Source organism: Homo sapiens, chromosome 5, assembly GCF_000001405.40.
Source record: "Homo sapiens chromosome 5, GRCh38.p14 Primary Assembly".
NCBI classification, from domain to species: domain Eukaryota; kingdom Metazoa; phylum Chordata; class Mammalia; order Primates; family Hominidae; genus Homo; species Homo sapiens.
Genome location: NC_000005.10, coordinates 115,031,539 through 115,045,478, shown reverse-complemented (window position 1 = coordinate 115,045,478; position 13,940 = coordinate 115,031,539). Strand labels below are relative to the sequence as shown.

At 40.7% G+C, this 13,940-nt stretch overlaps 2 annotated features.

The window, feature by feature from the left end:
• Positions 11,476-11,525: an enhancer, noted in NCBI's record as "active region_22923". NCBI's record gives its function as "activates an Ori minimal core promoter by ATAC-STARR-seq in GM12878 lymphoblastoid cells {active_cell/tissue: GM12878}" and the evidence as "EXISTENCE:reporter gene assay evidence [ECO:0000049][PMID:35858748]".
• Positions 11,925-13,124: an enhancer, noted in NCBI's record as "MED14-independent group 3 enhancer chr5:114368052-114369251 (GRCh37/hg19 assembly coordinates)". NCBI's record gives its function as "activates an origin of replication core promoter dependent on BRD2, BRD4, P300/CBP and CDK7 cofactors, and independent of MED14, by STARR-seq in HCT116 cells {active_cell/tissue: HCT116}" and the evidence as "EXISTENCE:reporter gene assay evidence [ECO:0000049][PMID:35650434]".

The following is a 13,940-nucleotide window of genomic DNA, read 5'->3' as shown; positions in this document are numbered from 1 at the left end:
CTGTCTCTACAAAAAATTAAAAGATAATTTGCTGGGCATGATGGTGTGCACCTGTGGTCCCAGCTACTAAGGAGGCTGAGGAGGGAGGATGGCTTGAACTTGGGAGGCTGAGGCTGCAATGAGCCATGATCATGCTACTGTACTCCAAGCTGAACATCAGAGTGAGACCCTGTCTCAAAAAAAATAAAAAAATTAAAAAAAATTTAAAAAGGTTTATTTCTAAAGTACAGTAGGTGCCCAATCGGCTGAATGGGAGGAGGCACTCCTGTTCCTTATAGTCACTCAGAATCCATCTGATGAGGCCCCACCATCCTGTTGCTTTACTGGCTGGAACAGTCTTAGGGTTGCTATATACAGGGAAGAGGGGAGTAGAGAATCATGCAAAATGTTTTATTATGATTATTATACTTTAAGTTCTGGGTGTGCAGAATGTGTAGGTTTGTTACATAGGTATACACAAGCCATGGTGGTTTGCCACACCCATCAACCTGTCATCTACATTAGGTATTTCTCCTAACGCTATCCCTCCCCTAGACCCCCACCCCTTGACAGGCCCCAGTGTGTGTTGTTCCCCTCCCTGTGTCCATGTGTTCTCATTGGCCAACTTCCACTTAGGAGTGAGGACATGTGGTGTTTGGTTTTCTATTCCTGTGTTAGTTTGCTGAGAATGATGGTTTCCAGCTTCATCCATGTCCCTGCAAAGTACATGAACTCATCCTTTTTTTATGGCTGCATAGGATTCCATGGTATATATGTGCCACATTTTCTTAAACCAGTCTAACATTGATGGGCATTTGGGTTGGTTTCAGGTCTTTACTATCGTGAACAGTGCTGCAATAAACATAAGTGTGCATGTGTCTTTATAGTAAAATTATTTCTAATCCTTTGGGCATATACCCAGTGATGGGATTGCTGGGTCAAATGGCATTCCTGGTTCTAGATCCTTGAGGAATCACCACACTGTCTTCCACAATGATTGAACTAATTTACGCATCCACCAGCAATGTAAGAGCATTCCTATTCCTCTACATCTTCTCCAGCATCTGTTGTTTCCTGACTTTTTAGTGATTGCCATTCTAAATGGCGTGAGATGGTATCTCATTGTGGTTTTGATTTGCATTTCTCTAGTGACCTGCAATGATGAGCTTTTTCTCATATGTTTGTTGGCTGCAAGAATGTCTTCTTTTGAGAAGTGTCTGTTCATATCCTTTGCTCACTTTTTATTGGAGTTGTTTTTTTTCTTGTAAATTTGTTTAAATTTTTTATGGATTCTGGATATTAGCCCTTTGTCAGATGGATAGATTGCAAAAATGTTCTCCCATTCTGTAGATTGCCCGTTCACTCTGATGAGAGTTTCTTTTGCTTTGCAGAAACTCTTTAGTTTAATTAGATCCCATTTGTCAATTTTGGCATTTGTTGCCATTGCTTTTGGTGTTTTAGTTATGTAGTCTTTGCCCATGTCTATATCCTGAATGGTATTGCCTAGGTTTTCTTCTAGGGTTATGATTTTAGGCCTTACATTTAAGTCTTTAATCCGTCTTGAGTTAATTTTTGTATAAATTGTAAGGAAGAGGTCCAGTTTCAGTTTTCTGCATATGGCTGGCCAGTTTTCCAAACACCATTTATTAAATAGGGAATCCTTTCCCCATTTCTTGTTTTTGTCAGGTTTGTCAAAGATCAGATGGTTGTGGATGTGTGGCATTATTTCTGAGGCCTCTGTTCTGTTCCATTGGTCTGTATCTCTGTTTTGGCACTAGTACCATGCTGTTTTGGTTACTGCAGCCTTGTAGTATAGTTTGAAGTGAGGTAACATGATGCCTCTATGTTTGTTCTTTTTGCTTATGATTGTCTTGGCTATCTGGGTTCTTTTTTGGTTCCATATGAAATTTAAAGTAGTTTTTTTCCAATTGCGTGAAGAAAGTTGATGGTAGCTTGATGGGGATAGCAATGAATCTACAAATTCCTTTGGGCAGTATAGCCATTTTCATGAGCATGGAATGAGTATGGAATGTTTTTCCATTTGTTTGTGTCCTCTCTTATTTCCTTCAGCAGTGATTTGTAGTTCTCATTGAAGAGGTCCTTCCCATCCCTTGTAAGTTGTATTCCTAGGTATTTCATTCTCTTTGTAGCAATTGTGAATGGGAGTTCACTCATGATTTGGCTCTCTGTCTATTGTTGGTATATTGGAATGCTTATGATTTTTGCACACTGATTTTGTATCCTGAGACTTTGCTGAAGTTGCTTGTCAGCTTAAGGAGATTTTGGGCTGAGAAGATGGGGTTTTCCAAATATACAATCATGTCATCTGCAAACAGAGACAATTTGACTTCCTCTCTTCCTATTTGAATACACTTTATTTCTTTCTCTTGCCTGATTGCCCTGGCCAGAACTTCCAATATTATCTTGAATAGGAGTGATGAGAGAGGGCATCCTTGTCTTATGCCAGTTTTCAAAGGGAATGCTTCCAGCTTTTGTCTGTTCAGTGTGATATTGGGTGTGGGTTTGTCATAAATAGGTCTTATTATTTCGAGATATGTTCCATCAATACCTAGTTTATTGAGAGTTTTTAGCATGAAGGGATGTTGAATTTTCTCAAAGGCCTTTTTCTGCATCTATTGAGATAATCATTTGGTTTTGTCATTGGTCCTGTTTATGTGATGAATTAAATTTATTGATTTGCATCTGTTGAACCAGGCTTGCATCCCAGGGATGAAGCTGACTTGATCATGGAGGATAAGCTTTTTGATATGCTGCTGGATTTGGTTGCCAGTATTTTATTGAGGAATTTCAGATCAATGTTCATTAGGGATATTGGCCTGAAATTTTCTTTTTCTGTTGTGCCTCTGCCAGGTTTTGTTGTCAGGATGATGCTAGCCTAATAAAATGAATTAGGGAGGAGTCCCTCTTTTTCTGTTTTTTGGAATAGTTTCAGAAGGAATGCAACCAGCTCATCTTTGTACCTCTGGTAGATTTCGGCTGTGAATTTGTTTGGTCCTGGGCTTTTTTTTTGGTTGGTAGGCTGTTAATTACTGCCTCAATTTCAGAATTTGTTATTGGTCTATTCAGGGATTTGACTTCTCCGTGGTTTAATGTTGGGAGGGCGTATGTGTCCGTGAATTTATCCATTTCTTCTAGATTTTCTAGTTTATTTGTGTAGAGGTGTTTATAGTATTCTCTGATGGCAGTTTGCATTTCTGTGGTGTTGGGAACAGGCCCCCAAATCTGGCCATAAACTGGCCCCAAAACTGGCCATAAACAAAATCTCTGCAGCACTGTGACATGTTCGTGATGGCCATGACGCCCATGATAAAAGTTGTGGGTTTACCGGAATGAGGGTGAGGAACGCCTGGCCCACCCAGGGTGGAAAACTGCTTAAGGCATTCCTAAGCCACAAACAATAACAAGAGTGATCTGTGCCTTAAGGACATGTTCCTGCTGCAGATAACTAGCCAAAGCCCATCCCTTTGTTTCCCATTTTAGTTAATCTATAATCTATAGAAACAATGCTTATCACTGGCTTGCTGTTAATAAATATGTGGGTAAAACTCTGTTCATGGATCTCAGCTCTGGAGGCTGTCAGCTCTCTGATTTCCCACTGCACACTCTATATTTCTGTGTGTGTGTCTTTAATTCCTCCAGCGCTGCTGGGTTAGGTTCCCCATGACTGAGCTGGTCTCAGCAAGTGATGCCCATAGATGGGGCTCGAACGTGGGTAAACATGGAACTAAGCTGGAGGACACCCAAGTACTCTTAAGCAATCCCCATGGTGAGTAAGATGGGGAGCTCGGAAGCATAAGGGTAACAATGGGACAAGTGTGGGCTCTGGTTCGTTCCACCTTGGAACCTTTTCACACTAATGTTAGGAAGAAGGAAAGTATAACAAAGTAGCAGAAGAGGTGACAGAGAAGGTATGTTTGCCAGCTAAAGCTAAAGTGGCAAAAGAGGAAGAGGTTCATTCCTACCCTTCTGCACCCCCTCATTATTTTGAAGAAAAAGAGTGGCCTGACCCTCCAGATCTTTCTTTTCTGGAGGACACTGGGCAAAAAGTAGTTGCCTGAGTGACTTTTGAGCAGTGCCTCAAGTGACTGTTCTCAGTTCTATTCAGGCAGGAATTCAGCAAGTTAGACAAGAGGGTGATATAGAGGCTTGGCAGTTTCCTGTTAGGATACACCCACCTGATCAACAGGGGAATGTTATAGCTACATTTGAGCCTTTTCCTTTTAAAATACTTAAAGAGTTTAAACAGGCTATCAATCAGTATAAACCAGGTCTATGCCCAAAATATAAAAAAGGAAAACATTGGGCTAATCAATATCACTCTAAGTTTGATAAAGATGGGAACCCAATTTTGGGAAACACCATGAGGGGCCCATCCCAGGCCCCATTCCAAACCGGGGCATTTCCAGCTCAGGCCATTCCCTCACCCCTGTACAATACCTGTGCCCTGCCACAGCTGGTAGTGCCAGAGTAGATTTATGCTGCCCAAAAGCTGTGAGCCTTCTGCCTGGGGAACCCCCACAAAAAGTTCCAACAGGGGTCTGTGGACCCTTGCCAGTGGGAATGGTAGGATTACTTCTAGGTAGGTCTAGTTTAAAAGGAGTGAAAGTACAAACAGGAGTCATTGATTCAGATTACAATGGGGAAATTCAAATTGTTATATCTCCTTCTGTTCCCTGGAAAGCAGAGCCAGGAGAGTGTATAGAACAGCTCCTGATTGTGCCATATGTGGAAATAGGGAAAAGTAAAACTAAATGAACAGGAGGATTTGGAAGCACAAATAAGCAAGGCAAAACAGCTTACTGGGTGAATCAAATTACTGATAAATGTCCTACCTGTGAAATAACTATTCAGTGAAAAAAATTTAAAGGTTTGATAGATACAGGAGTGGACATTTCAATCATTTCTCTACAGCACTGGCTGTCCATGTGGCCAATTCAACCCACTCAATTTAACATAGTTGGAGTTGGTAAAGCCCCTGAAGTATATCAAAGTAGTTATATTTTGCATTGGGAAGGACCTGATGTACAACCTGGGACTATTCAACCAATTGTAACTTCTGTACCTATAAATTTATGGGGAAGAGATTTATCACAACAATGTGGAGCACAAGTTCTAATTCCAGGGCAATTATACAGCCCTCAGAGTCAACATATGATGCATGAAATGGGGTATGTCCCTGTTATGGGACTAGGAAAAAATTTGCAAGGTTTTAAGGAACCACTTCAAGGGGAAAGACAAAGTTCCCGCCAAGGTTTAACATATCATTTTTGATGGCAGCCATTGTTAAGCCTCCAGAACCTATACTTTTAAAATGGTTAACAGATAAGTCAATTTGGATAGAACAATGGCTGCTAAGTAAAGAGAAACTGGAGGCTTTAGAGGACTTAGTTACTGAACAATTAGAAAAAGGACACATAGTGCCAACATTTTCCCCTTGGAATTCTCCAGTCTTGGTATTAAGAAAAGATTAGGTAAATGGAGAATGTTGACCGACCTCACAGCTGTTAATTCAGTTATACAACCTATGGGAGCATTGCAGCCAGGACTGCATTCTTCTGCTATGATTCCAAAAAATTGGCCTTTAATAGTCATAGATTTAAAAGACTGTTTCTTTACTATTCCCCTAGCTGAGCAAGATTGTGAATGGTTTGCATTTACAATTCCTGCAGTAAACAACCTGCAGCCTGCTAAGCATTTTCATTGGAAAGTGTTGGCACAAGGCATGTTAAACAGTCCAACAATTTGCCAGACTTATGTAGGGCAAACAATTGAACCTCCTCATAAAAAATTTTCACAGTGTTACATTATTCATTATATGGATGATATACTTTGTGCTACCCCCACTCGAGAAATATTACTCCAATGTTATGAACACTTGCAAAATTTTATTTCTTGCACTGGTTTAATTGTAGCTCCTGACAAAATTCAGACTACTACTTCTTATTCCTACTTGGGAACCTTAGTAAATGACACTACAATAGGGCCACAGAAAGTAACCATATGTAGGGATCAATTGAAAACATTAAATGACTTTCAAAAATTACTAGGGGACATTAATTGGATACGACCTGCCCTAGGCATTCCTACCTATGCCATGGGTAATCTATTTTCTATCCTTAGAGGAGATCTTAGTCTCACTAGCCCTTGACAATTAACAAAGGCTGAGGCAGAATTACTGCTGATTGAAAAGCAAGTCCATAAAGCTAAAATAAATAGAATAGATCCAGAGAAGACTCTAGATTTGCTAATTTTTTCAACTCAGCATTCACCTACTGCTGTTATTGTTCAAGAGCAAGATCTTGTAGAGTGGCTTTTCCTTCCACATACTAATTCGTGGGCTTTGACTCCTTATTTGGATCAAATAGCTACTATGATAGGAAATGGGAGAACTCGGTTTGTTAAATTACATGGATATGATCCTGGAAAAATTACTGTCCCTCTCACGAAGGCACAAATAGAGCAAGCTTTTATAAATAGTCTTACTTGGCAAACCCATTTGTCTGACTTTGTGGGTATTCTCAATAATCCTTTTCCTAAAACAAAACTGTTTCAAATTTTGAAATGAACTAATTGGATTCTCCCTAAAATAACTAAATTTAAACCAATTGAAGGTGCTGAGAATGTCTTCACAGATGGGTCTTGCAATGGTAAAGCCTCTTATTCTGGGTCAAAAAGTAAAGTTTTTCAGATGCCCTGTACCTCATCTCACAAAGCAGAGCTTGTAGCTGTAATTGAGGTATTGACTGCTTTTGATATGCCTATTAATGTGATTTCTGATTCTTCATATGTTGTTAATTCTACATAATTAATTGAAAATGCTCATTTATGATTCCACACAGATGAACAACTGATGACTTTATTTACCCAATTGCAAACAGCAGTTAGGAGTAGAATGCACCCTTTTTACATTACTCACATTAGGGCTCATACACTTCTTCCAGGACCTTTGACTGAAGGGAATCAAATGGCTGATTGCCTAGTTGCTACTAGACACTTTCACAGTTTAACCCATGTTAATGCCTCTGGTCTCAAATGCAGATACAGCATTACCTAGAAAGAAGCTAAAGCTATTATCCAGCAGTGCCTAACTTGCCAAATGGTGCATTCCTCATCTTTTATAGGAGGAGTTAATCCTTAAGGATTGGAACCTAATTCTCTTTGGCAAATGGATGTGACATATATTTTCTCATTTGGGAGACTAGCTTATGTACATGTATATGTGGAAACCTTCTCTCACTTTGTCTGGGCTACATGAAAATCAGGAGAGTCTTCTGTCTGTGTTAAATGTCACCTTTTGCAGTGTTTTGTGGTGATGGGCCTTCCATCTTCTATTAAAACAGATAATGCCCCAGGCTATACTAGCCAAGCTTTAGCTACATTTTTCTCTATATGGAATATTAAACATATCACTGGTATCCCATATAATTCTCAAGGAAAAGCCATTGTAGAACGAATGAATCTCTCCCTGAAATGACAATTGCAAAAGCAAAAAGGGGAAAGCAGGGACTATGGGACACCCTATATGCAATTGAATCTAGCATTATTTACTTTAAATTTTTTTAGCCTGCCTAAAGGCCAGATGCTATCAGCAGCTGAACAGCATCTACAGAAACCAGCTCCAAAGACAGAAGCAGAACAACTGGTTTGGTAGAGAGATCTGATAACAAAAAGTTGGGAAATAGGTAAAATAATAACTTGGAGTAGAGGTTATGCTTGTGTTTCTCCAGGCCAACAGCAGCAGCCAATTTGGATACCATCAAGACACCTGAAACCTCATCATGAGCCAGACGCCAAGGAAGAGATTCTGGGAGGATCCCAAGGACCCCCCAGTTGTAGCCATGTCAAGACTGATGCTGAGGAGGACCCAAAATCTCATGAGCAACACCCATCAAACACAACCAACTACCTGGGGAAAGATCAAGAAGCTGTCACAGATGGCAGAAGAAAACCTGAGGAAAGTGGGATAACCAGTCACAAAGAGTAATTTAATGATAGCTATGATAGCAATGATCACCATTGCCATGAGTATTCCTTCAACAAGGGCTGACACAGAGAACAATTATACTTGTTGGGCATATTTATCAATCTTGGCTGGCAATAATGCCTGGATGTAATCACTCTGTGACACAGTGACACATGCTTTCTGATGTCAGTATTTACCATAATAAATCTACTCCTACAATTGAGAGATACCATCCTTAAAAACCTATTTGTAAACAGAATTGGACCTGGCCAGAAATAATGAATGTACTTGTTCAGGAAAATTGCATTGCAGAACAGGCAGAGGTGCTGTGCAATGATTCCTATGGAATCATTATTGATTGGTCCCCTAAGGGGATGTTTAGCTTGAATTGCACCTCTCAGTCTGTGTGCCACAGCCACACTACATTCAGCTGGTCTGAACAAAATGGTCAGATGGTAGAAATGGTAAGAAATATGGCAAAAGTTCCTATTATCTGGAAACATGGCGGTTTAGTGGCACGTCAACCTCAAATGATATGGCCCGCTGTAGGAGCTAAACATAAGGATTTGTGGAAATTATTAATGGCTCTTAATAAGATCAAAATTTGGGAAAGCAAAAAAAAGCATCTAGAAGGATACTCTACAAACTTGTCTTTTGATATTGCAAAATTAAAAGAACAAATACTTAAAGCACCCCAGGCACACCTGACCTTAATGCCAGGAACTGGAGTGCTTGAAGGAGCTGCAGATGGATTAGCAGCAGTTAACCCATTAAAATGGATAAAAACACTTGGAGGCTCTATGATTTCAATGATGATTGTACTTTTAATCTGTGTTGTTTGTCTTTGTATAGTCTGCAGATGCAGATCCTGACTCCTGCGAGAAGTAGTGATAAAGCCACCTTTGCTTTTATCATCTTGCAAAAACAAAAAGGGGGAACATGTTGGGAACAGGCCTCCATATCTGGCCACAAGCTGGCCCCAAAACTGGCCATAAACAAAATCTCTGCAGCACTGTGACATGTTTGTGATGGCCATGATGCCCATGCTAAAGGTTGTGGGTTTACCAGAATGAGGGCAAGGAACACCTGGCCTACCCAGGACGGAAAATTGCTTAAGGCATTCCTAAGCCACAAGCAATAGCATGAATGATCTGTGTCTTAAGGACATTTTCCTGCTGCAGATAACTAGCCAAAACCCATCCCTTTGTTTCCCATATTAGTTAATCTATAATCTTTAGAAACAATGCTTATCACTGGCTTGCTGTCAATAAATATGTGGGTAAAACTCTGTTCATGGCTCTCAGCTCTGGAGGCTGTCAGTTCCCTGATTTCCCACTCCACACTCTATATTTCTGTGTGTGTGTCTTTAATTCCTCTAGTGCCACTGGATTAGGGTTTCCACAACTGAGCTGGTCTTGACACTGTGGGATCAGTGGTGATATTCCCTATATCATTTTTTACTGTGTCTATTTGATTCTTCTCTCTTTTCTTCTTTATTAATCTGGTTAGTGGTCTATCTATTTTCTTAATCTTTTCAAAAAACCAGCTCCTGGATTCATTGATTTTTTTGAAGGATTTTTCACATCTCTATCTCCTTCAGTTCTGCTCTGATCTTAGTTGTTTCTTGTCTTCCGATAACTTTTGAATTGTTTCATGCAATATATTTTTAAGAGTCAGAGTTAGAAATGTCTTATTTGACTTCTGCAAACATTCTATTGCATAAACTCCAGTTTTATTGCCCCAACCAACTGCAAAGGAGGCTGGGAAGTGTGGTCTTCCTTTTTGCTCAGGAAAAGGGACATAAACTGAGCTTTGGTCAATATATGAAATTGTCTCTGCTCTGTATGCCTTTCTTTTAACAATAGAACAGAACATATCTCCCCAAGAGACACAGTCCAAAGATAAGGCCAGTCACTCCATCCAGCTCAAAGTCTGGTAGTTTCTGGTAATTTACAAGTTTATATTAGTTCACATTGATTCCTCTTTGCTATGAATTAAAGAGACAAGATATTTGTTCCCTTTAGTTGTAGGCCATTTTATAATTCCACTTGGAAGAGGGAAGAATGCAGGCTTAGATCAGTCACTGGTTTTTAACACTTCTGAAATCCTGCTGGACAGACATTTTGAAGACCCTTCCTTCCTTTAAGGGTGGGAGTGGTACTTTAGCTAGACCCTGTCTGCTATGCTCAGATAATGTGTCTTTCTGGAGGTTTGGCTGTCCTCATCTGATAGAGTTTTTGAGCAGGTGAGTAATGTCATTGGAGCCGCAGTTTGGGAAGTTCATGTTGCTGCAGTTTGCTTTGTGCATTTGGGCCAGAGAAACAAGTTAGGAGGTTACTGCAAAAGTTCAAAGGATAAATAATTATCCTCTGAACCAGCATGGGGGGCAGTCAGAAGTGATGAATATGAGAGGTGTATTGGAAGAAGGTCAGGAGGAAGAGGAAAGGAGCTCTGATTCTAAGGCCTTACTCCTGGGTGACAAGAATGGTGGATGAGATAGGTCAAGAGCAGGTGCTGACTTTGGGGGAAGATGAGTTTGGTTTGGCCATTACTTTGTACCTTATTCATACAGCGGAAATAAACTCATGCCCTAACTTCATTAATGGAGAGGAGATTCCTGGTTATAACTTTTAATAAAAACAACTCTTTCAGATTTGAGAAAGTTAAGTAAATGCATGTTATATATGGCAATCATCCAAGTATTCATTCAGCATTACAAGTTACTAGCACTGTCAGTCCTGTCATATTGTTATTAAAAAGCTTCCTTGCCACTAGACATACTTGAGCTCCTTTAATAACAGGGACCTCTCTGCTTTACACTTGAGTTCCATCTGTTATTGGAGAATTCTAAACCTCAACTTTATATTGAGCTGAAAGTCCTTTCCCTGAAACTTCTACTCACAGTATCTGGTTTTTGCCTCCAGAACTATACAAGACAGTCCAATATTTTATTTTATTATTTTTATTTTTTTGAGATAGGGTTTTGCTCTGTAACTCAGGCTGGAGTGCAGTTGCATGATCATAACTCACTTCAGCCTTGAACTCCTGGACTCAAGCGATCCTCCTGCTTCAGCCTCCCAAGTAGCTAGGACTACAGTTGCATGTTAGTTTTTAATTTTTATTTTTTGTAGAGACAGGGTCTTATCATGTTGTCTAGGCTGGTCTCTTACCTCCCGGCTTAAAGCAATCCTCCTGCCTCTGCTTTCCAAATTGTTGGAATTACAGGCATAAGACACTAGGTGTGGCCAGGGCAGTATTTTAGAGTCTAGAAGGCAGAAACTGGGCCCCATTTTCTTCTTTCTTTGAGCTACACAACTCCTGTTTTTCCAACCATTGCTTTTATATGATTTAATTGGTAAGAACCTTCACAGGATATGTCTTGAGGTCTTGAAGGGGAAAAGCCGCAGGGCTCATCCTTGCTGCCTCGGAGGTCATTGCGCTGCAGGTCCTCATGGTGGCAGGAGCTGCACATGCTTTGACCAGGCCTGAAGGTCTCTGCTCTTATCCTCTGCTAAGCAGTATCTGATGAGCGGATTCTCATCTTTCTGAGACCTTTAGTTGCAAACCTTACCTTTGAAGTGTGTTCTGAATTGAAAAAGAGATGTGTCACTTATAACATATTTCTATTGTCCTCCCTTGCATGTAGTACAGTTGATGAATGCCTTCAGCAGGTACTGCTAGTAGTCTGTGCAATAGCTGTTTTCTGCCTTCTTCTTCCTAACAGAGTCCTGCATTTTCTGAGACATCCATCCCGCTTTCACATGTCCATGTCCTTCAGGAAGCCATCAGCACTTCTAGACCTTGCAGTGGCTTCTGGTTAGTCTTTGAAAGTATTGGCAATCTCAGTCCTTTTGCCAGTGGCTGCTTTAGGTATGGTGTTGAAAACCAGTTCTGGTTAGTAAGATGCAAGAAGAGATTTCTAGGGGGAGGGGAGGCTTCTGGGAGATGTTTCCTCACTCCTAAGTAGGAGACACCTGGAAAGGTGATACCTTTCTGCCTGTGGACTTTACTGTGTCTGGATGTGGAGCCCAGAATGCTCATAGCTATCTGGCTACAAGCTGGAGGATGAAGCAAACACATGGGGAGGAACAAAGCCAAGTGAATCGCAGAAATCAGTGTGTCAGATTTCCGAACTGTTTATTTATTTTTTTATAACTTATCACATATCGTTGTCATCTTTGGTAATTTTAGTTAGAGTTTTCAGTTACCAGTGGCTGAAGGTGAAATGACCTTGTTGTCTGGGGTGCCACCTGAAATCTCATGGCGGAGGAAAGCAAGAATACAGAAACACCAAGGGTGAGGTTAGAGCAGAAGTTTAATAAGTGAAAGAAAGAGAGAAAGCTCTCCACTGCAGAGACGGGACCTGGAATAGGCTTGCCATTTTTACAGTTGAATGCAAAGGCTTTTATAGGAAACCAATGAGTGCTGGGCATCTCATTTGCATAAGGTGCGAATTTCGGGTAGTTCCACCCCATACTCCTTATGTGCATGTGTGTCCTTAGCTTGAGTTATTCCATATTGCTTTGTTCCTCTTATTGTGCATGTGTGAGGATGGAATTTTCCATTGTGGGCATGTCTGGGCAAGTCACCTGTGTAGCCTTTCTTATCTGTACATCAAGCCCCCCTGTACAAGTTCCCTTATCTCTGCCTGTAGGCTGTTCTTTTGTTTGAGAGGATTCAACTGAGGACCCACCCTAACTGCCTGCCTGACTGGGTTTTTTCCTTTCTCCTTTCTCAAAGGCATCCTAACTGATGTAGTGACTCTTTTAAAATGAGGCACTTGGAAAAGAACAAAGTGCCAGAAAAATGGAAATATCACCACTGATATTTCATACATTATCCTTCTGGAAATGAGAATGCGCTTCAAGATTCCTTTAGTTATTTTATGTTTTGTAACTCCATCATATATTTGGCACTTATTGATCTTGTGGACAGCTAAGATCTCCAAGTTTTTTCCTCTGACAAATTCCATTTTATATGTAAATAAGATTCCAATTCCTGAAAACTCTTTTTCTTTATGCTATAAAGCCAGGGAAATGACTAGGAGTAACCACATTTCTGACTGATCAGAAAATCTGGAAGAGAACATAATTTATGGCATTCTACATACAAGTACATCAGTGGAGACAGGGATCATTGATTACTTATGAAAATTCTTCCAGCTGAATATGCAAGTGTGAAGATGGCCCCATGGCAGCCTCAAGTGCCTCTAGACATAGGAGCTCTGTGCCTCACTGACTATGAGCTTGTCAGAGAACTGCAGCCCTTCCTTGTCACCCCACTCCCTATCCCAATTAGCCTAATGCCTATCCTGGACAGATGTCTGCTGTCCTACTCTGCCTAGGAGCCACCTCTGCTTACACACCTAAACACACTAGACTGTGAGCATTTATTTCCAATAAACACTGTAAATCTGAGCTAACTGCAGGCAAGTGTCCTTTCCAGCTTGCTACCTTCCCCTCTGAAATGAGCTCAGGCTCATCCAGACTTAGACTATAACTCCATTTCCTGAACTGGAAATGGCAGGCAGGTGTCCTAGTGCTCTGATTCGAGGTTGCCAAATGCATTTGCTTGGGTATGAAGTCAGTGAAAGGGGTGACACAAAATCAAATCTTTGACATCTTGCCTTTGTTAATAATAAGCTGTCAGCTACCGAAGACAGAAACTTCAAATCCTTCCGTCCCCTTCCCTCTCTCAGACCAGGAATTGGGCTTTGATGATTTTGCATAAAAATGTAAATAATCACTTATTTGGATGATTGCTATTACGTAACCCCAGATGGCAGTGAGTGCCCTGAAATAATCTTTCTGCAGAATCTTTCAGCTAAAGCAGTGAAGAAATCCAAGAGCCTCCTGGCTCACAAACAATTCTTGTAAACATATCAGTCACCTCTCTGTCTTCAGAGCCTGTGTCCCCTCTGTGAGGGTCAAGAAGGGCTTGGAATGGAAGAAATGCCAGCAGGCATACTGGACACACT